Genomic DNA, 22,536 nt, shown 5'->3' with positions numbered 1-22,536 from the left:
CTCAGCGTCTCAGTACCTCATCTTCAAAATACACATTTTTATTAGCTGACCTCTAAGTTTCATGCTGTCCTGGAACTCCCTTGACAATGAATTATTCAGTTTGCTGATCTGCAATCTCAGGCTCATGGCATCTGAATTGGACAACAGATGAGGAGTTGAGAACTTAGACGACTAGAAGGGCCAGGGAGGGAACAAAAATGAGGGATGTGGCTTTGCTGAAGTGTAGTAGGGACTACTGGTAGCTATGGTAAGCTGCAGATCCCTGGTCTATTTCAAAACATTCAAGTTCAGATTTTTAAAAATTATGATGCTCAAGTCAAACAAAAGAGCTCTATGTACCAGCTTTGTGAGCTATTTATTTCCAAACTCTGTTTGCATCTGTTTTTTTTTAACTTTTCATAGCGATGAAGAATAAAAGCAGATATAGAGCAATGGATGTGGAGGGAATTTTTTAAAGGTGCCAAAATCAGAATGCCTAATGTATTTGGAAAGCACAGATAAAACCGTTGGATAGGAACTGGCAAGGTTCTCTATCTTAGGACAAATAATAGAAGATTTATTCTAAGTATTCCAGTATGCATCAAACCTTTGTATATATCCAAATAATCTTATCATCTAGGAGGTTTCTTAAAATACAGTTTCCTGGGTCCTATTTCCTAGAGATTCTGATTCAGCTGCTCTGCTGTGGAGCCCAGGAACCTCTGATTTTTAAATATACCGAAGGGTTCTGATCCAAGTGGTCAGAAGGCTACACTTTGAGAAACACTAAATCTATGCTCTTCCATTTTAAGATGGGAAATGGGCTCAATGAGGTGAAATGATTTGCCCAGAAATAAAAATATCGACATGTACAGCATCATCCCCCATTTCTGGGCCTAGAGAGACATCATTAATTAATCATGGCACATGCTAACTTCTCAACCCACCGCTCCTGGAAGCTGTTTCCACCCTGTCTAAGCTGGTCCTTCGTTGAGACTTTGCTGCCTCCTCTGGACTATCCCAAGGCCAGTAGCTCACAGGTGATAGAATAAGACTAAAACTCAAAGATCTTTGTGCTTTTGGCAACATCACAATCTTCTTTAAATGGAGTTTTGCTCACAAGTCCCATTTTTATCCACATTTAATTGCACAAATCCCCCTGTAACAAGGCATGCTGTGAAACAAAATGATTAATAAAAACTCATGAATTTTTAAGTACATTTAATTATTTGCTGTCTCTTGGCTGATGAAAAGAATCCATCAGGCAGTATTCACCATTTCCCCTGGATTATGGCATCCTAGGGAGTATGTTATTCCTTTTACTTTCCAGGAACTTATTCAACTATTAACAGAGTGCAAAGAATAATGCCTCTCCGTGAGTTAAGATTGAATATGACTTGGTTCTAGGATTGACACACAGAAGCTCAAGAGATGGAACCCACTGTATTTATAAAGCTGGTCTCGCAAAGCCTTGCTGTAGCCACATAGCAGATAAGCAGTTGAGAAAGCCAGATAGTGGAGCTGGAGGCCACTGTAATTTAGTTCCCACCCTGTGATAAAGCACAAATAGATTAGACCTGTGCAGAGCCAGATGAGTGCACAAGGAATGCTTGCCAATGCAAATAAGACTAAAACAAGAACACATTGTTGGAATTTCTGCAAGTTAGTTTTTAATCAAGTACATCATGGTATATTAGGGCCTTTTAACACATGTTTTTGACATCTGGCCCTGCGCGGCTGACAGTTAAATTGGTTTTGTGATTGACGGAGAAATATGTTGTAGTATTGAATCATCAATAACACTTAAAAACATTATAGTGCTTGTTGATTTTTTTTGTCATCAATGCCCAGTCAATAGTACGAGTGCTTAGAGCAAATCGACCTACTTTCCAAACGATTCTGACACCTTCTGGCTGTTAACATGTCTGCTTAATTTTATTACCTTTTCTTTGAAGCCAAGATGATCCCTAATTGAGTTCTCCTTCCTTCCTTCAGCTCTTTTAATTGCTTGTTGTATGCCAGATGATTTGCCCAGCTGTGGGTCAAGAAGACTCATAGGATTTTAGTGCTGCCCTCTTGAAAGTGGGGCTGGGAGGATGATCATGCAGTGAAACCACGTGAAGGCTGCCGAGTGGGAATAAGTGCCACGTGATCCAGCCAGAGGGATTCCTGGGAAGGTTTCCAAATAGTGAGACGACAGGTCCTTTTGGAGCTTTAGAAATGTCGCTCCAACAGCCATGTAGTGGAAGGGATGGGACGGAGAGGTGGCTGGGTAATTGGTTGTAGTGTGGGCAAAAGGCAGCAAGGTCTTGGTTGCTGAAATCATTAAAAACCCTTGAGAGATTGACCATGTACTGTGGCCATTTCCTTCTCTTGTGGATCACATAGTCATCCACTCACCATTGTCACAGGTAGGTAAACTAGGTCTGGGATCAAGAAGAAACAAATATAGGCAATTAATAGTTTCATTTGTTATATTTCTGCCTCCTCTCTTATAATAATATATTTCATTTAAAGTGTTTTTAAATAATTGGAAAATAGTAATGGTACCTCCTCCGCTGAAAGCATTAGATATATAAATTATTGTCAGTGGGGTAGAACAGTTGCTTCCTCGGGGGATCTTAAATCACAGGCTAACTGTTCAAACTAACTTCCCTCTGCATTAAATACTATTTTACAGTTGTCTTATTTATCAGGCATTGTCTTGCACTATGCAATTATAAGAATATAAAAGATAGTATCAGGATCCTTGGCCACAGTTGTTGCACCAGTATTTTTTAACATGGCCATCCGAGAGGAAGTTTAGATATGTGTTGGATAATTTCAAACTAATTTCAGAAATCTAACTCAAGCTTTACGCAGATGGAATTTTCGTGTGCATGTGTGTGTGTGTGTGTGTGTGTGTGTGTGTTTAAGTTTCTTACTTTGATATCAGGCAGATTCCCTATTTTTGGAAAACAAGTCTACAAAGCAGTGTTTTCATTTCAGTGTGAAAGTCAAAGGCAGACCTCCTTGAATGGCTCCAGGTGTATGTTTGTGGCAGTGTGGTCTCATGGGTGTGGCTGACAGTCAGAGAGCCTGGGATGTGGGAGGCGTTCTGTTTATGACCTGGGCCACCTTGCATCTCGGAGCTCTGGGTTTCCTCACCTCTACACCGTCACCAAGAGCACTGGATCTGCCCTTGCGCTTGTGATGAGGGCTGATGAGGAGAGCACATCACAGTGCCTAGCATGTAGTAAGCCCTCAATAAAATAAAGCTGCTGCTGAACTTCGTTCAAACTCAGCCAGTGTTTTGGATTCTCTGCTGACTATCAAGAAACCACTGAAAAAACACAGAAGTAAACATCCTCAGACACACTGGAAAATCACATACACAATGGACTGATTCTTTGTCTCAAGTTCTCACAATGAGTCCCAGCTCTAAGTCCTGGAGGGTTTGGGTCCTGCCCCACTTCATTCCCATCTAGCCAGAGAACAGTCTTCAGAAACCAATGAAGGCTCTTTGATGACAAATGGAGAGGCTAAGCAAAGAGGGCGGAGCCAAGAGGCATGTTCTACTTCTTCCCCTTTCCTGTGCAAGGCTGTGGTAGGTCTGGAGTCTTGGTGTCTGAAGCTCCCTCTTCTAGAGCTGCTCTAGAAATTTGCTGGATACTACCATGAACCAAGAGCAACCACAGAACTTGAACATTACGTTCCTTTGCAACCCTGTGATATTAACTTTTATTAACAAGTCAAAAGCTGTTATTGGTTGTCCTTCCCAAGTGCTGTTATGCACAGCCTCCCCACGAATCCAATTTTGATTTTCTTGTGTGTGTTGATTCCTGTACAGCATTTCTTAGATGTACTGCCTCTTATTTTCTTTTACAGTATGCTTTGGCATATACACTGATGGGTTCTCACCTCTTCTTTTTTGTTAATTGCCTTACAGGAGAGAATAATTGAGCGCTTGAAAGAACAGCGAGAAAGAGATGATCGGGAAAGACTAGAAGAGATAGAATCCTTCCGAAAAGAGAACAAAGACCTGAAAGAGAAGGTCAATGCTTTACAGGCTGAACTGACTGAGAAAGAGGTGAGTCTGGAAAAACAAATGAACCACATTGATAGTCCTCATAAACCCATATTCAATGAAGCTGCAAGAGACTAGAGACTTAGTAGGAGGCACTGTATGAAGGCTTGGGGAATGTAGTAACCTTTCTTTTGTAAAGCTGCCTGAATTTAAAGGAATTTTTTTTTTTGTAACTTCCTTCATCTGTGATGCCCTATGCCTATCTTCTCTGCTCTGCTAACCATATACAATGTAGCTCCTTGAAACTTTTCTTTATGTCTTACCACATTTGCACAGCTTAAAGGATTCTGTATTTTTCACAGGCCCATGATCCCTTGCTTGAGATAACAACAGCAGCGATGATGATAGTAACAATAGCTCTACTTTATTGGGTGTCTGCTATGTACTATTCCTTGTGTCAAGTGCTTTGCATTCATCTGTACTTTTCAAAGGGACCACCCAATACTCTCAGATTAGGAGATGTGGTACCATGCTGGACCCCAAGGTAGAGCTTAAGTGTGGCTGCTCTTCTGGCATATTATTTTTACATTATAGTAAATAATTTAGAGCTGTATTTTTATACCATAGCAAACATGAATACAGAATATAAATGCCACCTGTGTTTTTAAAGTAAAATCTTATACTTTGAAGAAATTCTTGCTTGGGGGTTATGAAGAGGATGCTTTGGGCTATTCCCCCATTCTTCAAGGGATCCCTGTAACCCTCTCAGTTTTCTTGGGGATAGTTCGGTGGAGAAGTATGAGCAGCAGTAATTACACATTATTTTATTTAATCCTCACAGCTCTGAGATGCGTGGAGATTGCCTGCAATTGGCCCCTTCACACTTACTTTTGTCTGCTGTAACTGTCCATCTTCTTTAGAGCTGTTATAGACCTTTCACCCTGCTGGACGGTACCACAGCACAGTTATCTATCTCCTAGCTCCGCAGTATTTCCTCACTCGTGTGGTACTGATAATTCCACACAAACTAAAGTCCTGAATAAATTAGGAATCTAGATGAAGAAGGAAAAGAATGGATGAGTAAGAGGAGTTTCGAGGAAAATCAGAAAGAAAATCCGTATTTCCTAAAATTTAAACCTACTTGCTTTTTAGAAAGGAGCTTATTTCTTTGTTATGAATATAAAGAATGGAGTTCTCTTCCTAGCTTCCACTGCTGATTCTGAGTTGGAGGATCTGTGATGACTGTTGTTTGTATGCGACAGAAGATATGGAAGCTTTGACTTTGTTTATAGCATTCTTCACCGGTTGCAAGTGTTATTTGTCGGTTTGCACCTTAAAATCAATGTATATACTTCTAATGAAAAGAGATCTTGATGAAGTGGTGGAGCATAAGCTGTAAGTGAAAATAGTTTTGTAAATAATGCCAACATTGTATGACTTTCAGATAGACATTTTGGTAAACACTTGTTGTTTCTGCATGATGTGCTTGGCACTGGGCTGGGTGTGTCAGTCAGGGTTCTGCAAGAAAAACAGAACCACGTTAAACATTTTCTACAGATTAAGAACTTTATCATAAGGAATTGGCTTACACAGTTACAGAGGCTAGGCATTTTCAAAATTCGCAGAACAGGCCATCAGCAAAAGCCGACTGGAAGGTCTTAGACAGAAGCTGATGTTGCAATCAATAGGTGGAATTTGTTCTTCCTCAGGGAAACCTGAATTCTGCTCATAGGCCTTTCACTTGATGGGATCAGGCCCATGCAGAATACTGAGAATAATCTCCTTTACTTAAAGTCAACTGATGGTAGATTTTAGTCATGTCTACAAAATGCCTTCTATTAGCAACTCCTAGATTAATAACTGAGGACTAGAGCCTAGCCAAGTTGACTAAAACTGGCTATTGCATCTGGCAATTTAAAATTTATAAAGGAAAACAATATGCAGTTGCCGTCAGCAGGGAGCTTATAATTTAATTGGAGTGAAGATATGTCTTCACCATGACAAAGTGACTGGATTATAATATCCTTTGTTATTTCTGTGGGAATGATATGACAAAAGTCATTGAAATTGGAATTGTAGACCTGGGTTTGAGACCTGTATCTGCCTTTACTAGCTAAGTGATCTTTGACAAGATGCTCAGCTCTTGTGAGCCTCAGTTTCCTGATGTGAAGAATGAGAATGGCTCACCTGTTCCCCAGAGGGCTTTAGAAGCACCTTGCTGGATGATGGTGATTTTTATCATCAAGGTTATTCCAGTGTCCATGAAGCAACCCAGTGTAAATTATTAGCCAACGTTGTTTACAGAGAGACCATTGTGTCTTTAGTATCTTCCTAGGTGATGCAAATGATCAAGAAGGAAATACATGGAGTCTGTTTTGGGGTAAAACCTGTACATCTGAGTCACATAGTTAGATGTTGCTATTTCATATTTGATGACAAACATTGCTCTTTTAGGTTGCAAAGTTATGTTCAGTGATATATGCAAGTTATTTATTTCTGTAGTTTTTGGAATTCAAACTATATGTGGAGCCTGTTGGTTTCTGGACATGATTAGTGACTGGAACAATTTAGGTAACCCTATGTCTGAGTTGGAAAGATTCATCATATCTGTCAAATCTAGATTGCAAAGGACGCAAACATAAAATTTACTCTAAATTTTAAAATAATTTTATGTTAATTTTCCAGAAGATGTTTGTAAAACCATTGATCATTTATCTGTTAAAGAAATGGGATTTGATAAAAATGTAGTAGGAGGCTTCTTTTATATTTGACTTGCTCTTGGGAGCGGATGCATTAAAGTCAGTATTTTCTTTCGTATTTGTCTCAATGTCTGCATAGTCTGACAGCAATAAATGTAAACGGAAGGTTCAGGGTGTCTGTTTTGCTATGACATGTAAAGACCACCTTGGGACTTACATCATTAGCATGACTTTGAGACGTGAAACATGCATTTACTGACCACACCATTTGGTCACATTTGATTCTACGGCAATTAGATCCTACTCGTTCTGTAAGCTGGCCAACTTTAATTTCCTGACCAGAGCTGACTATTGTTACCTTAGTAAGATTATATTTACCCTTTCTGTCTACTGCACACTTTATTGCTATGTATAGAATCAATGTGTTCAAATTGAAGGCATTGCTAGTAGAAATTTCAGTGTTTTACTCACTCACATTCTTTCTCTTTCAGTCTAGTTTAATTGACCTCAAAGAACATGCATCTTCATTAGCCTCTGCGGGGCTGAAAAGGGATTCCAAATTAAAATCTCTAGAAATAGCCATTGAACAAAAGAAAGAGGAATGTAGCAAATTGGAAGCACAGTTAAAAAAGGTAAGTGAAGTCTAAGAAAAAGAATCATGCTTATTTAAAAATGAATTTATAAAATGGAACAGGAAGAGACGTTTTTAAAAAGAAACAAACCCCTTATCTGTTGCTGTCTGCTGATAAAAGAATTAATTAAATACTCTTAACTTTATTGCTAAGAAGTCTATCAAATCTGTCTGTAAACCTGAAAAATTATCTCAGATTTCCTGTTTAAGAAAAACTTGAAAAATAGATCAAAATAGTAGCAGAAGTTAAAAATATTATAAAAACCAGCCATTACTCTCTGGGCAAATCTCAACTATCAGCAAAGAAAAATAGAAATGTTTTCAACAAATCACAGAATCCGGAAGCCACATTAGATATTAATAAACTTTTGCTACTTTCAGATGTAGGTCATTTTTTTGTACCAGAACTTTGCAAAAAGCTTTTCTGACATTGTTAACTTTCTAGAAGTTCACCAAAATTGTCAAGTCCCATCTCTGTAGAATGACTATTTATATTTGATCAAAATGGCCTTACTGTCTAAGAAAGCTTGTTGTAGATAGAAGGCTTTGGAAAAGAAATAGGATATTTACATGGCGGCATTAACATGTTTTCTCTGACCCAGACATTTTTGTGGAGTGCATTTCCAGTCATGCATTGTTACTTTGACTTTTTCCCTGTGTTGTTTGGTATGTCTGCACTCATTGTTCACATAAAACTCATAACATTATGAGTTTAAGCATTTTGTTTCCCTTTGACAACTCATAAACTTATTCAAAAGAGATGATAAGAATCTAAACAATCAATCAAAGCATATAATACAATTTGACTATGTATAATTCATAGCACACACCGGGATGGGGATTTATTGGCTAAAGTTATGAAAAATATGACATGGATGGTCAAGGATGTGAAGGAATCACATATCTGTGAAGGAATTACTCTAGATATCTTAAAATTTAATATACTATTTTGTATGATGCAATATATAACTGAAATGTTACTATATGGTATTCACTTTACAGAGATGTTTAGGAAATTGTCATGAGAAATTTCACACTAAGAAAGTCTACTTGCTAATACAGAAAAAGATAAATACACCGATCAAATCCTTTAATAACAAAACAGCAAGAAAATCTCTATATTGCAAAATATATTTCCCAATCCACTCATCATCTCACTTATTTCAAGCAATATTTAGTTAAGCAGAAATCTTGAACAATAAATAAAAGAATTTAAATTGCCCATTTGAGGGTGTTTAAATGGAGATTGACTTGGCTATGATGTATTGGGTATATGACATACATTCCTGACCTATATAAATGTGCTCTTCAAAATATTATCTATGATATGCATATTAAGGGATGAACTTATGAAGAATATTTTTTATTTAATAAAAGTTTTGTGATCATAAGGCAGGCTTTAAGCTAGCTTTGTGAAAGAGAGAAATTCATTGGCTCCTTATGACCATTCCCTGCATTATTTTACCTTAGTCACAGTGTGCTGAGTCGAGAAGAAAGACGGCCTCAAATAGACCTGGGCATGAAAGATGTCCTCCACCTACTCTGATGAGTCATTGTTATGGAGATCGGGGGCTCCATTTATTATTTCTATAGGTACATGCTTGACACCTTCCTTTTTAGTGTAAATCATCTATGGGAATTTGAAATCCACTAGTAATTAAAAGGAAGAGATTCACATATTGTTGCTTATACTTTTCGTGTAATGACTTGACTAGTTTAATAAATCAACATTTATGCAATTCAGTATAGTTTCTTTCAACATAGCTGTGGTTTGCCCCTGAGATCACTCAGAGTGTGTGGTTTCCTTTGACTCGCAGGTAGACACCACACACTGAAATTCACAGACCAAATCCTGTAAACATTGTAGCATTATTCCTGACAGCATTTTAACATTCTACCACGTCACTAGAATTAAAGTAACAAATATGGTTGTCTTGCTGTAAAGGACCTATTTCATTTATGAAAAGATAACTTATTTCTAAGTATATACATAATCTTTGCTTATACTATCTCCTAAATGCATAGTGCAGTGAGTTTAAATAGGGTAATTATAATTTAAATATATTTATGTCTAACCTGCAAATGCTATTTTGTTATTTTTGGCTGTCTAGCATTAACTAAATTCAAAAGTTTAAAATATTTTTTCAGTAGTCTTTAATTTCTGCTAATAAATAGTTCCGTAAAAACCTCAAATACCCATCACCTTAAAAAAATTGAGATCTACATGAAATATTTGAAAATATAAGCCAACAGTATGTGAATATACATATAAACACATCATTTACTCATGGAAAAATAAGCAGCTATAAAAGCTTAAGTGTGTCTGGGCCTCTTTTTAAATAAAAGGGTACGTGACTTGTGAATTAAATATAAAAGTTTACTAAATGAAAGCTGAAAACATAATAGTTTTATTATGTCATAAATACACCAAAAATTCCCAATGGAATTTTGCTCAAGGTTTGTGAGTGTCCAGGTATTTTTCCTATAAAATCTACACAACATTGTAGATGTGTGTCGTTGAACAGAAACCTTGTCTGCCAGTGGCAATGAAATCCAAACGGTGATTTAAACTTATTTTTGTCTTGTAAACAATGCTTGACATTGGTAAAGGGAGTTTTTACATAAAAGTTTGTGGAGAACATTCAGACACATGATTACTTTAACCCTTTATTATACTGTGTTAATTTAAGATGCCTTCAATACTTTGTGATGACAAATGGTTATAGGCAGAAAAGGAACTCCCTTATACATTCCATCCCACTACTTATAAATGTTCATGTGTGAGGAAATTTTTACTGATATTAGTGAGGCTGATAAAATGATACTAACCAAATAATGCATAATTGCAAATTATAAGTGTGCTTTGTAATTAAGCGCATTCATCCATCTTAAGTAGACACCCAAGAGTTGAGAAGAGGCTGATAATTGACGTATGGATCATTTTGTCTTTCAAAAGAGTATTTGAGGTTCAAAATGGGGGAGTAAATTTACCCTATGTGATTAGAAATCAATTGAGAAGCAATGGCAATTCAAAATATGATTTATGCTCTTTAGTAATTTTTCAATTAATATTATACCTGAGGAGGGAGTTTCTTTAAACCATGATAACATTGTCATTTACTTCATTCAAGTTGAAGGAAAAAGTAATAGAGGCTCTTAAAAAGTGTGTCTTAGCTTAAAGCAAAGTAACAGTTTCTACAATATTTCACCCTGTACACCTTGACATTGAGCCCCAGATAAATAGTGCAGGTATTTAGAAAATATAAGTTGAGAGTGCAGTTTAAAATAATATTCAGCACATTTAAACCCACAAAAATTTAAATCTTCAACACAAAATAGACAAGAAAACATTATAGATTCTAAAGCACTTGGAACATAATAGGATATCTTTGAAAATTATGTTTTCTATTAATCCGGAGACAACAGTAGAAGTTGGTAATAGGCAATGGATAATACAGTATTTTGGTCCTGCTGATTTAAATTTTTCTTCTTTTCCCATTTAAGTTAATCCAATAAAGTCTGACTGATATTTTGCTATTGCTAACCTGCTGTTTGCTGATCTGTATTTTTCTGAAGATAGACCGAATAGAAAATTCAGGCTTGTGTTAATGTAAAAGAAGAGCTATAAATTCAATGATAACGTTTAATTAATCTTTTATTATTACCATCTTTGAAGTTCAGGTAATAAATTGCAGACTTGGCCAAAAGTACTTCTTCTGATTCATTGCTGGAGGCCAGCACTTCATGTATCATCAAAAGTGGACAGCTTTCTTTATTTCATGGGTTATTTAACTTGAGAAAGGGAAAGTAACACAAACCTTACATTTCTTATTCCAGCTATTCTTTTTTAGGAGCCAAAGTCAACATTTGTATTTCCCTAGAGCATCTCGCTTTCACTGTGGAATGTTTAGAAACTGAAATTTCTTCTTTTTTAACAACCAACTCGTCTGTGCGAATGCATGGATTTTGTTGAGCTAATGCTGTTTTTCTGGATCTTTCCTTCTTTCCCTGTCTGTGCCTCAATGCCTCCCCAACTTTGCAATGTAGCAAGCTGAGCAGTTGTTCAATCAGATGTACAACCCAGTAAGTCATTTCTGAAAGTTCCCGCTGTAACATATCAAAGCATGAGGATCCATTGATCACCAGTCACGGTGTGCCATACTGGGGAGGTTTTGAAAATATTTGAGTTTCTTCCCCTTTCCGTTCTGTCAAAAGAAATGATCTGTGCTGAGGCCACTGCCATTTCTTTTGAATGTGAAATTTAAAAATTAATAACTCAAGAAAATATTGCCAACTCTGATATTACCTCCTTCTTAACCTCAGCCCAAAGACTATAGAAAAACAAAAGTCAGCTGAAGATCTAGGCTTATGGAACTCTTCCTTAAATCCTTCAAACACAAGCATATCTAGGCCGAAAGGGATAACAACATTTGTAAAATAGCAAACAATTCAATATCTGTTTTATTCAAGTGACAGAAGTTAAAACAGGTTTAGATTTAAAAACAGGGTTACGCTCTTTGAGATTGGTAAATACTTGACATTACTGTGGATTTTGTAACAGTTAAAGGCATGCCATTTGGCTGAGGACAAACCATAATATAGTCTCCTAATAACAGATAGTAACAATTCTGATTATAGCTTAATAGAGTACAAAAAGGTAACTAGTAAAAATATTTGTAAAATGAGCCAGGTGCCACCACGAATTTTTTTTATCCTAGTGACTTGTGTGCATTTATTAATATATGAAGCAGTTTGTTTTTTAAACTTATTAAAGAAGAAAAGCTTTTTTGTTCAGTGAACTTAAGTGGCTTACTGGGAAAATACTTCATAAAGATGGCTAGAGTTTATCATTTGGCAGATGTGATCTGTGCTATCATGCATTCTAATCACCTCCTATGTATAAATCCCCTTATGGAGAAAATGAATAGCATGGATAAAGGAAACAATTGCACCCACAACTTTTTATTTGTTAAGCCACTGCTTCAGGATACATACAGCTTGATCTGCAAGATGTTCAGGTGTACTTAGTTAGATTCAGCCTCCACCCTCCATTCTTTACAACACATTTTATTTTTGCAAACAGAATTCCTAAAACCCTGCTGGAGCATCTTTGTTAACCTCTTTTTCAAAATGCAGATTTTAGCAGAGAAGCAAAAAATAATCAGCTTAAGTTTCTTTTCCCTTAACATTTGAATAGAAGTGCTAATAAGCAGGCTCAGGACAGTGGAGATGTGAAGAAAGACAAATAAGACTGGAATATCTTCAAGCTCGAAAACACCCTGGGAAAAAATGAGTGTTTAAAAAAAGTTGTTTAAAAAATAAGCGAAATAATCCCACTGCAATTGTTTCATACTTACTAGTTAGGAACAGGAAGAAAACCAAAGAATGTCATGTTTTGGGTGTGTGCATGACAGATGGGGAGAGCCTTGTTCCTGCAGCAGCAAAAATATACCAGGACCATGCTAGGAGTTCACTCTCCCTGTCAGGATAGGTAGGACCAAAGAAATAACTCTCAGTTAGCTTTTAGACCATTTCTAGAAATATCAGTGACATGGCATCATCAACTTTTACTTCACTTCACCCCAGTGGTGCGTCTCTAATATGCCAGCGTGAACTTTTCAGTCTTTTCAGTGACTAATTCAAAAGTCATTGACTGACTTTTCTCCTCAAGTTAATTAAACTAACCCATTGGTTTGGCATCCCGGGAATATAGCCAAACTCTCATTATTTTAACTCCCCCTGTCTTGGTGTCCAATTGTTTTTTGGACTGATAGGGATGCAGCATGATGGATTTTCTACCCTTAATTGTCTTTTAAAAATGACTATGTTTTTCTTAGTTGTAAAAATAATATATGGTCACAGTAGAGAATTTGCAACCATATGGAAGCCTATAGAGGAAAATTAAAAAATAACAGGACATCTCACGGCACAGAAATAATTGCTGGAACATTTGGATTGTTCTCCACCTAGACATCTTTTTGTTGTTGCTGTTCTTCTTCTCTCTTTTTCTTTTCTTCTTTCTTTCCTCTCTCCTCTTGCCTTCTCCTTCCCTTTATTCCTCCTTTCCTTCTCTCACTCTTGTGTTACTTTTTCTTTTTCTTATCTAACACTCTACTTCAAAGTGTTTATTTGGGTTTCTATTCTATTTTTTTTTACATTATTAGAATTTTCTCATATAATGAACTATTCCTCCAAAATACTATTTTAATGATTGTATACTATTCTACTCTATTTGCTTATTCCTCTAATGTTGGTAATTTCTTCCCCCATCACTTTTTTTTTTTTTTTAAACTTAAGACGAAGTCTCGCTCTGTTGCCTAAGACTGGTCTCAAACTCCTGGGCTCAAGGGATCCTCCTGCCTCAGCCTCTGGAGTTGCTGAGACTACAAACATGTGCCACCGTGCTTGCCTCCTTCCTGTGCCAGTGATTTGTAAAGATCCCAATAGTTCCTACTATCTTAAGTTTCCTAGGAATTCCACCAAAGCATGCTTCTTCCAGCACTGATTAAAAATGGCCTTTCTGCCGCACCCTGGCCAACATTGAGAATTGTCATTTTACATAACTTTGACACATGTTTAGGTGGAATTTTTTTTTGCCTTTTTAACTTTTCTTTCTTTAATAACTACTGAAGTTGAGGTTTTCCAGTACATTTATTAGCTTTTTGTATTTTTTCTTACGTAAGTAGTTTAAATCAGTTAAGCACTTGCTTTTGAGTTTACTGTTTTGTTCATTGGTTTATATGAGTTATTCTGTGTTTTATATAGAATTTTTGCCAGATTTATGGCAGTTTTATTTAGCCTAAATTTTTTTATGTATATAGAGAACAATTTTTAGGTTCTTGACCTGTACTTTTCTTTAGGCTTTCCTCACTACCTTTATTCTGGAAACTATTCTCTGATTTCACTTACCTATATTTAAAATGTTTTAATTTTGCTTTTGGTATCAAGTTAAGCCCTTTATCCATCTTTAGTTCATTTTTATTCATGTTGAGAGGTGAGGTTCTAATTATATTTTTCTAAATTATCAACTAATTATCCAGCATGATTTATCAAACAATTCTCTCTTTATCCACTGATCTTGATACTATTTTATTGAATATGAAGTTCTCATTTGGGTGAGTGTCTTAGTTTCTAAGCATCTGTTCAGTTTTATTGATGTCTCTAATTTGTTGGGTCAAAATTTTAATTATTGTATCTTTATTATATTTTTAAATATCTAGTAAAACAAATTACACCTTAATTATTTCTGCTTTTCATTTTGTCTTAAGTCTTTAGCCTTTAATTTTCTATCATTCCAAGTAAATTTTAGGATCACTTTGTCAATTAAAACACAAAATTGTTGATTTTAATTTTAAATATATTTAATCTATAAAATAATTTTAGAACTATTTATATGTTCCCAATATTATTTCTTTCCATTCATAAACCTGATCCAACTTGTATTTATTCCAGTGGCTTTTTACAGTGAAGTTTAATATTTTCCCATGATATTTCTTCTTAAAGATAGTCTTAAGCATATCTATATATATTTAATTTTTAGGTTGCTATTGTAAATGATATACTTATTATTTTATTTTCTAATCAGTTATCATAGCTAGGAAATTTCTTTTATTTTTGTATGTTTATTTTCTATATGGCCACATAACAAATTTTTGGTGAATTATAGTATAGTTGTTTTTTGTTAAATAAGATAATTTTATAGTCAATTCTGTCTGACAGTCTACACTATGTCAGAGTAAACAAGGATTAAGCTTTTAAGTGCTTCTGCAAGTATTTTTATTTCTAGGGTCGAAAGGAACCTTTTACTTTTTATCTCCTTTTACTTTAGTCACTCTATTGCACAAAGTAATATCTAATGACATTTCTTAGGAACCTAAAATTTTGCCTTGATATCATTATTTTTCTTATAACCTTTCTGCAGCTTAACTATCATTCTACTCCTGGAGTTTTGTCTTATTATTATAACACTGTGCAGGTTATCTTCAGTTGGGTTCTTTTTCTTCCCTTGGTTCTTAATTCTAAACAAATAATATGCGTGTTTCATCAGTCTCAAATACCTTGTTTGCTGTAGCCCTTGTGGTCATTGTATGCAGAGATGGTATCGGGAGTCTTTCAAAAAATTTTAATAAATCTTTAGACCTTCTGGGTCCCTCAATTTAGTGCTTCATATAATACCCTTGTTGCTAAAAGGCAAATGACTGATTTGGAGGCACTGGGTGCAACCTTGCTGTTGGCCAGGGCACATTTGAGACCCCTCTGATGTTCCCCACACTTGGGGTACCCAGTGCCTAGTAGGTATCCATTTGAAATCCTATCTCTTCTCAACACATATTTAGCAGGGCTCACATTTTACGTAAGTGTTTACAAAAAACATAACAAAAGCCAAAAAGCAGGCATGTTTCATTCCAGAGAGATAGAAAAAAAATCTTGTTAATGTCCTGCTTTGTAGGTCATTACAGGACAGTATAGTCCCAGGAACGTAATGGGCTGAATTATAAATGCTTTCACAGTCATTGTTTGGATATAGCAGTTTCTTTTTATGATTTTTGAAGCCTATTTCTGAAAAGTATTCGACTCACTCTTAAACCAGTTATCTCCCAGCACAGTGGAAAGTTACAACTATTTAAGAGATAATTCCAGGCATGCACATAGCATGTGTAAACACATGCATACACACAAACACATACCCTATAATTGATCCAGGCTTTCAGTGTCTAAAAAACTCAACTAATATTTGCAATAACACTCAACATTTGAAGCTACATGTTTTGTTTGAGGACATCCAGATAATTACCTCAGTTCTCTACATTGCTAATTTTAGGAAATCCCATAATTAAAAAGGATTGCATTAATAATTACAGTTTTGTTTGGGGGATCTTTAGAAGTATTAAGCATACAGTTGTTCTTTTGTGTGTATGTGTGTGTGTGTGAGAGAGAGAGAAAGAGAGAGAGACATAAGAATATTTATTTATATTTATTTATACATATCCTATTTGTTCCATCTATGAAAATAATTTTTTTGGTGTGGTTGTTTTAATACACAAATTTTTGAATATTCTGAATGCAGTTAGCTTGAATTGTGAGTGAATAATTTCCTTTAGAACTAAGATATATAGGGGCTGGGTGTGGCGGCTTGTGCCTGTAATCCCAGCACTTTGGGAGGTCAGGGCTGGAGGATCACTTGAGCTCAGGAGTTGGAGACCAGGCTGGGCAACATAGCAAACCCCATCTCTACCAAAAAAAAAAAAAAAACAAAAAACACACACACACACACAAAAAAAAAAAAAAAAAAAAAAAAAAACAGAATTAAGATGTATAACATTTCAAAATACATCATTATTAGTTTCCAAATGTATTATTTAGGCTCAGCAATGATGCCTGGTATTGATATATTTTAAATGAAATTTAATTTTCTAAATTAGGAACCTAAAGTTTTGCCTTGATATTGTAATTTTTTTTTGTAACCTTTCTGCAGCTTAACTATCATTCTACTCCTGGAGTTTTGTCTTATTATTAGAAACACTATGCAGGTTATCTTCAGTTGGGTTCTTTTTCTTCCCTTGGTTCTTCATTCTAAACAATAATATGTATGTTTCATCAGTCTATAATAGAGTTATATCAGTCTATTATAGAGTTATAATATGTTATATATAACATATATAATATATAATATAAATATTATAACTCAATAATCACCTTAAAAATTTTCTTTTAAAATGTAATATTTTATTTATAACTTAGAATTATGAGAAGATTGAAATTCTTTTAGAAGACTGTAGTCAAATATAATTTTCAAAATAGTTTCTATACCCTGTTCTGCTGTTAAGATATGAAAGGAATATTAAAGCGCTGTCAATGGACATTAAACCACCAACATGCCACAATCGAAATCATATTTCTACACTGCCTAAATTTAGCAAATTATTGCTAAAACCCAGAAACAGCAGGGAAGAAAAGTCATCAAATACATTCGTTAACATTCTGCTTTTATTTTATGGTCATGATTAATTATTTGTTTATTTTGAGGGAAATGATTTTTAATTAAAATTGGTAGGGTTTATTTCAAAGGGAACGTGTTATATAATGTAATAATTGAATGTTCCCTGCCTTGTTTCACAGCAGGTTTCTGGACCAAAGTTAATACTTTCCTTTCTAGGGATCTGGATTGATGAACTGCCATTTTATTGGAAATAATCAATGACCAGTCTTTAGAAGATTAAATGTAAATAGACGTATGATTTTGATACTTGACAACCCCATAGTTTGGCTTTAGCCATTTTTGGCTTCTTAACTTTCATTTACATATAGTATTAATCTGAAGTTTTGCCTTATTTCCTGAAGTAGTTATAAATTCTTTCACTAAAATAACTACTAGGTTATTATAACTATAAGTTAATATACTGCTCATCCCAAGCCATGGTCAGAGTCCTCTTAATGCCTGATCTAGGCTTTCAAAGTCAGTTCACATCAAAACCCAGAGGCCTGCCCACATCAGTGAGACTCCAGAGTTTGTTTTGGTTATTCCCATTTGCGGGGACATTTCCTTACATATGGAAATACAAGAAATATAATTGGGAGTCCCTCAAAACTTACTGATGTAGTATGCGATGCAGACATTTCTGAAATGTCCTTTTCCCATTTTTTTGTGTTTCTATAAGATGCTTGAGAGTTGCTCTAAATGTTTTAAGAAATATTTTTGAGCAGAATCGGATACCTGGATTTGCCTTTAAACTGACCTGTTTAATCAGTGGAATTAAATCTCTATATTAATGAAAGAATGCTTATTGATATTCCTTTAGTTTTAATGATGGTGGATGTCCTTGAAAGTGACGATGAGCTTGCTATATTCATGGTAAATAAGATCTGAAACCATCAAAAGAAAACTCACACCAATTTGTGTTTTTAAGAGGTAAATTCCTGACTAATGAAAATAGGAGGACAAAGTTGATGTTCCTTAGAAGTATAGAAAGGGCAAGCCTTCCCAGACCTTGTTGGGGAGCTAATTGCAAACCAACATATTCTTAAGGAAAAATATTACTGTGCATTTTCAATTTATGTCTTGAATGCATTAGAATGCCATGGCAGGAATTTACTGTGATCATGATTTATTCAAATCTGCTTTTTTCGCTGTAGTGTCTAAAGTATGATAGATCCAAGTCTGTTACCTACTTTTGATCTCTATCGGGAGCTGCTAGTCAGATTAAAGAACTCATGTTGTTATTTGAAAAGGCGAGAATATTGCCTAAATACAAATAAAGTGCTTATTTCATTCCATTTTTGGAGGAAGCTCAGGACTCATAATTTTGAAGGAAGCATTGGCTTTAATAAGCTCAATTTCCTCCACTATTTTATTTAGTGTAGAATCACTCATGTCTGTAGATCATGGTAGAACACATTCATGCTGGTTACTAGTTAAAAATTTCAGCCCATCCTCTGAAAAGTTGTGACTCAGGCTGAATAGAGCTGGTTATGTACAATATCTTTTGTAAATTCTTTAGAGGCTTTTGCCTCCAATACCTAAGCTTAGCTGGGGACTCACCAGCCTTCCCAGTCATGTGAAACTCTCTTTCATTGAGTCTTTACATGGACCCTAGTAATGATCCAAGAAGCAGCGGTTTCCCTGTCATCTTTATATGACTTTTTCTTAAAGCTTTCTGTTGATTTAAAAACATTTAAATGACATTTTAATAGCTCTCCCAACAATTCTGGCACCAAGATTGAAAGTGGCTTGACATAAGTTCTTTTGCCTGAAAATCAGTAGATATTGATATAGAGATAGAGAGATTTAACTCACAGGTATTCTTGAGGTTGTCTATTCATTTGATTGATTGATTGATTGATTGATTGATTGAGATGGAGTATCGCTCTGTCGCCAGGCTGGAGTATAGTGGCATGATCTTGGCTCACTGAAACCTCCGCCTCCTGGGTTCAAGCAATTCTCTTGCCTCAGCCTCCTGAATAGCTGGGACTACAGGCGTGTGCCTCAATGCCCAGTTAATTTTTGTATTTTTAGTAGAGATGGGGTGTTACCATATTGGCCAGGATGGTCTCGATCTCTTGACCTTGTGATCCACCCACCTTGGCCTCCCAAAGTGCTGGGTTTACAGGCGTGAGCCACCGCACCCGGCCGAGGTTGTCTATTTATTTTAAAAGTCTCATTAGCACTTGAAGTGTGTTCTGTTAATAATAGATACCAGGCCAGTCGTAAACTTGGCTCTGGTCTTCATTCTAATGACATGACCTAACTTCAGCATCAAATGATGTCAACAGTGGTACAGTCTAGATTCAGGCACTTTTTTTCCTAGGCTTTCTGTGCTTCTAAACATCCCATGAGTCCTTTCACCATACTTACTTACTTGTTTGAAAAGACTATGAATTCATCTGATTTCACCCACTGTTGAAAAGTGGCGTTGAATAATCATCTTTTCTTCATGGAGCTAAAATAAGGAATATGTGTACATACCTATCTCTAGCAGACTACGCTGTCTCTGTAAACCTATCAGGGAGGCTTTTTTTTTTTTTTTTTTTTTTTTTAGGGAGTATGTAGTATCTTGTCAATGAAAATCAAATAAATCTATTAACTTAGCTGAGTAACAAGCTGTATTTCTGGGATGCATATTATGAAATAATAATTATAATAAAAACAAAAGTGAGTAATATCTCCCCCCGTGTTTGTCATTTTGTAGTTTTCATGGTTTTTAGGCTAATTAATTTGCCTAATCTTTTGTAAATATAAGATGCAGGACTGGATTTAGAATCTTGGTCTTGCAACTAGTAATCCTGTACCCACTTATTAAAAACGGACTATAATAATAAGAAAAACAACCAAAATAAGCCACAGCAACTAACTGCTAGCTATTTGTGAACTTTTAAAAATTAGCATCAGGAAAGGAGTTTTAACTGTCCTAAGAAACAGGCAATCAAAATATACGTATTCATTTGTTTTGAGGGCTTCCAGCTGCTCATTACTCAGTCATTAATTCTTTTTTAAAAATCTTAATAGCCTTGTTTGGATAGTTCAAGAAATGTCATGAAAAGGTTTTTAACTGCTGTAAAAGAATGGTAATACAGTATGAAAATGAAAGAGAGGTTAACACGAAGTTTTTCTTTAGCAATTTAAAAGCTGTGTATTTTAAATGCTTTTCTGTAACAAAAGTAATGATTCATATTGTCACAAATAGAAGCAGGTATATGGAGTAGTTACTTTCTTTTAAAATAGAATTTCTGCTCTACATTTTTAAAGTGGAGATTAGGAAATTTATTCATTACTTAAGCTTAAAATGAAATTATTAGATAAATATACTCCTAAAGGTATGTTAGCTCAGGATTCTCTTTCAGATTATTTTAATTGTACTGAAAAAGTTTAATAATCTATTATAATGAAACACAGAGTGCATAGTAAATAAATGAAAATAAATGTTTTCTGAAAAATGTTGGTAAAAGGGAATAAACCAGTACCTGATAGTGTGTTGAATTGACATATTTTTCTTGTTTTTTTTTTGTGTAATTGAGTTTATTTCTTAAATAAGGAAATCTTAGGTTTAAGAACATGAAAGCAACTTTTTCCCCTTTATCCTCATGCTTAAATAATATGTTACATGCAAAAATATTATTTCTAAAATGATTATTTTGTCATATGAAATTTATTTTATTTATACTAATTTTTGAATTTTTTTTCTATTAAATCATTGCAAAGACTGTCAAACCTTCTAACCGTAGTATTAGTATTAATTTTTCTAACCATGCATGATTCATTCAATCCCACAGTAGCTGTAGCTTGCTTGCCTTGTTTTTTCCCTGAAATTTTCAAAAAAGTATATAAAAACACAATAAATATCTGCTCCATGTAGCAAGACAGCAGAAAAACTTAAGTCCTTAAAAATTGTTAACATTTGATTATATCACCCATGGATTTTGGAGATACATACGTATATGACTTATCTGAACTTTCTATGTTGAATGTGCACTGTTGTATAAACTACTTGTTTTTTCCCTGCCTGCTCTTTGAAGAAGTCAATTAGGAATAATGGGAAACAAGGGGTAGGCAAAACATTGCAGTGCAGTGTTATTTCTATCTGTCTGGGAATATTTCAGCCAAAAGTTTATTTTGGGAAAAAAAAAAGCTGTAACGCACTCTCTCACACACAAACCCACAAATACTTTGGCTGCAAATTATTCTGCAATGTTGTTGCTGTGTTGTTGCCTGTGTCTTTTCTTGTGTGTGAAGCTGCCACCCACCCATGCATGTGTTTGCAGATTCTTGTCTGTGTACTTGTTCATGAATTAGCTCATCCTCCTCCTGGTTTAGGTTAAATTTATTTAAGAGAATGAGGATTTATGGGTATAACTGTTAGCTGGAAAGCCCTTCCTCACCTCCAAGCCTCCTTTCAAACTATATTTCCTGCTGAAATTTCTCAGTGGAATGACATGTTCAATTATTAGTTAATCAGTCTCTTATATGTTATCTGGCTTTACATGTGCCCTTGATAGTTCTTGGAAAATAATCCAATATTGTGTTGTTTTGGTGTCTTTGTATTGGAAATGGAAGCATTTTGTATGAATCACCTCCTTAACTGTGAGGAGTTGAATTGTCTTAGGTCTGCTTATCAAATGACCGGGAATAAAGACATCACAGTATCTAACCCTACTTTTTGGTGGAAAGAAAAGCTAAAAGTAGCAACATTTAATGGAACAAAATATCAATAATTGAAGAAACTCCCCTGTGAAACTCTAATATTATTTTAAAATCAGCATTCTTCTAAGGTAGCTGAAATGTGTGATTTTTCTATTTTGCCTTTTCACTGACAATATACCCATAAATCTTGGTGGTGATTTTCTCTCCAAAGTTAATTTCTGGACCATTGGTGACAGCACTGTCTATTGTTCTAAATTGTTGTCTTAACTACATTCTTTAAAAATGTAATGTTGAAGGCACATAATATTGAAGATGACTCCAGGATGAACCCTGAGTTTGCAGACCAAATAAAACAGCTCGATAAAGAGGCGTCTTACTACCGCGACGAGTGTGGCAAGGCCCAAGCGGAAGTGGACCGGTTGCTGGAGATCCTCAAGGAGGTGGAGAATGAGAAGAATGACAAGGACAAGAAGATCGCAGAACTGGAGAGGTAAATTTTACAGTTATATAAATTGTTGGCAGTGAGAGAACATGGACTGCGTGGTTGCCCATCTCCGGTTGTGGTGGATTTGGACTGTACATTCAT

General features: G+C 35.3%; 1 protein-coding gene across 21 annotated transcripts in view, besides 1 other annotated feature; it reads left to right on the top strand.

Moving 5' to 3' along the window:
• Positions 1 to 22,536, top strand: part of ERC2 (ELKS/RAB6-interacting/CAST family member 2) — a 960,157-nt gene that overhangs the window by 453,971 nt on the left and 483,650 nt on the right. For 13 of the 21 annotated variants that reach the window (NR_132749.2, XM_017006156.2, XM_047447950.1 and 10 more), the window contains 3 exons: positions 3,908 to 4,048; positions 7,176 to 7,316; positions 22,247 to 22,440. Coding sequence is in view for 20 of the 21 variants with exons in the window: in XM_017006156.2 (XP_016861645.1) it covers positions 3,908 to 4,048; positions 7,176 to 7,316; positions 22,247 to 22,440 (476 nt within the window). In the remaining variant the exon portion in view is untranslated. Of the gene's footprint in view, positions 1 to 3,907; positions 4,049 to 7,175; positions 7,317 to 11,362; positions 11,399 to 22,246; positions 22,441 to 22,536 lie in introns of all 21 variants that reach the window. The other 8 variants (XM_047447947.1, XM_047447946.1, XM_047447949.1 and 5 more) reach the window with 2 other exon arrangements.
• Positions 3,161 to 3,345: a silencer, noted in NCBI's record as "fragment chr3:56045180-56045364 (GRCh37/hg19 assembly coordinates)". NCBI's record gives its function as "represses an EF-1alpha promoter that drives an FKBP-Casp9 reporter gene in an ReSE screen in K562 erythroleukemia cells {active_cell/tissue: K562}" and the evidence as "EXISTENCE:reporter gene assay evidence [ECO:0000049][PMID:32094911]".

This window comes from Homo sapiens, chromosome 3 (genome assembly GCF_000001405.40).
Source record: "Homo sapiens chromosome 3, GRCh38.p14 Primary Assembly".
Taxonomy (NCBI): Eukaryota; Metazoa; Chordata; class Mammalia; order Primates; family Hominidae; genus Homo; species Homo sapiens.
Note: the sequence above shows the minus strand (reverse complement) of the source record. Positions and strands in the feature narration are given on the sequence as shown.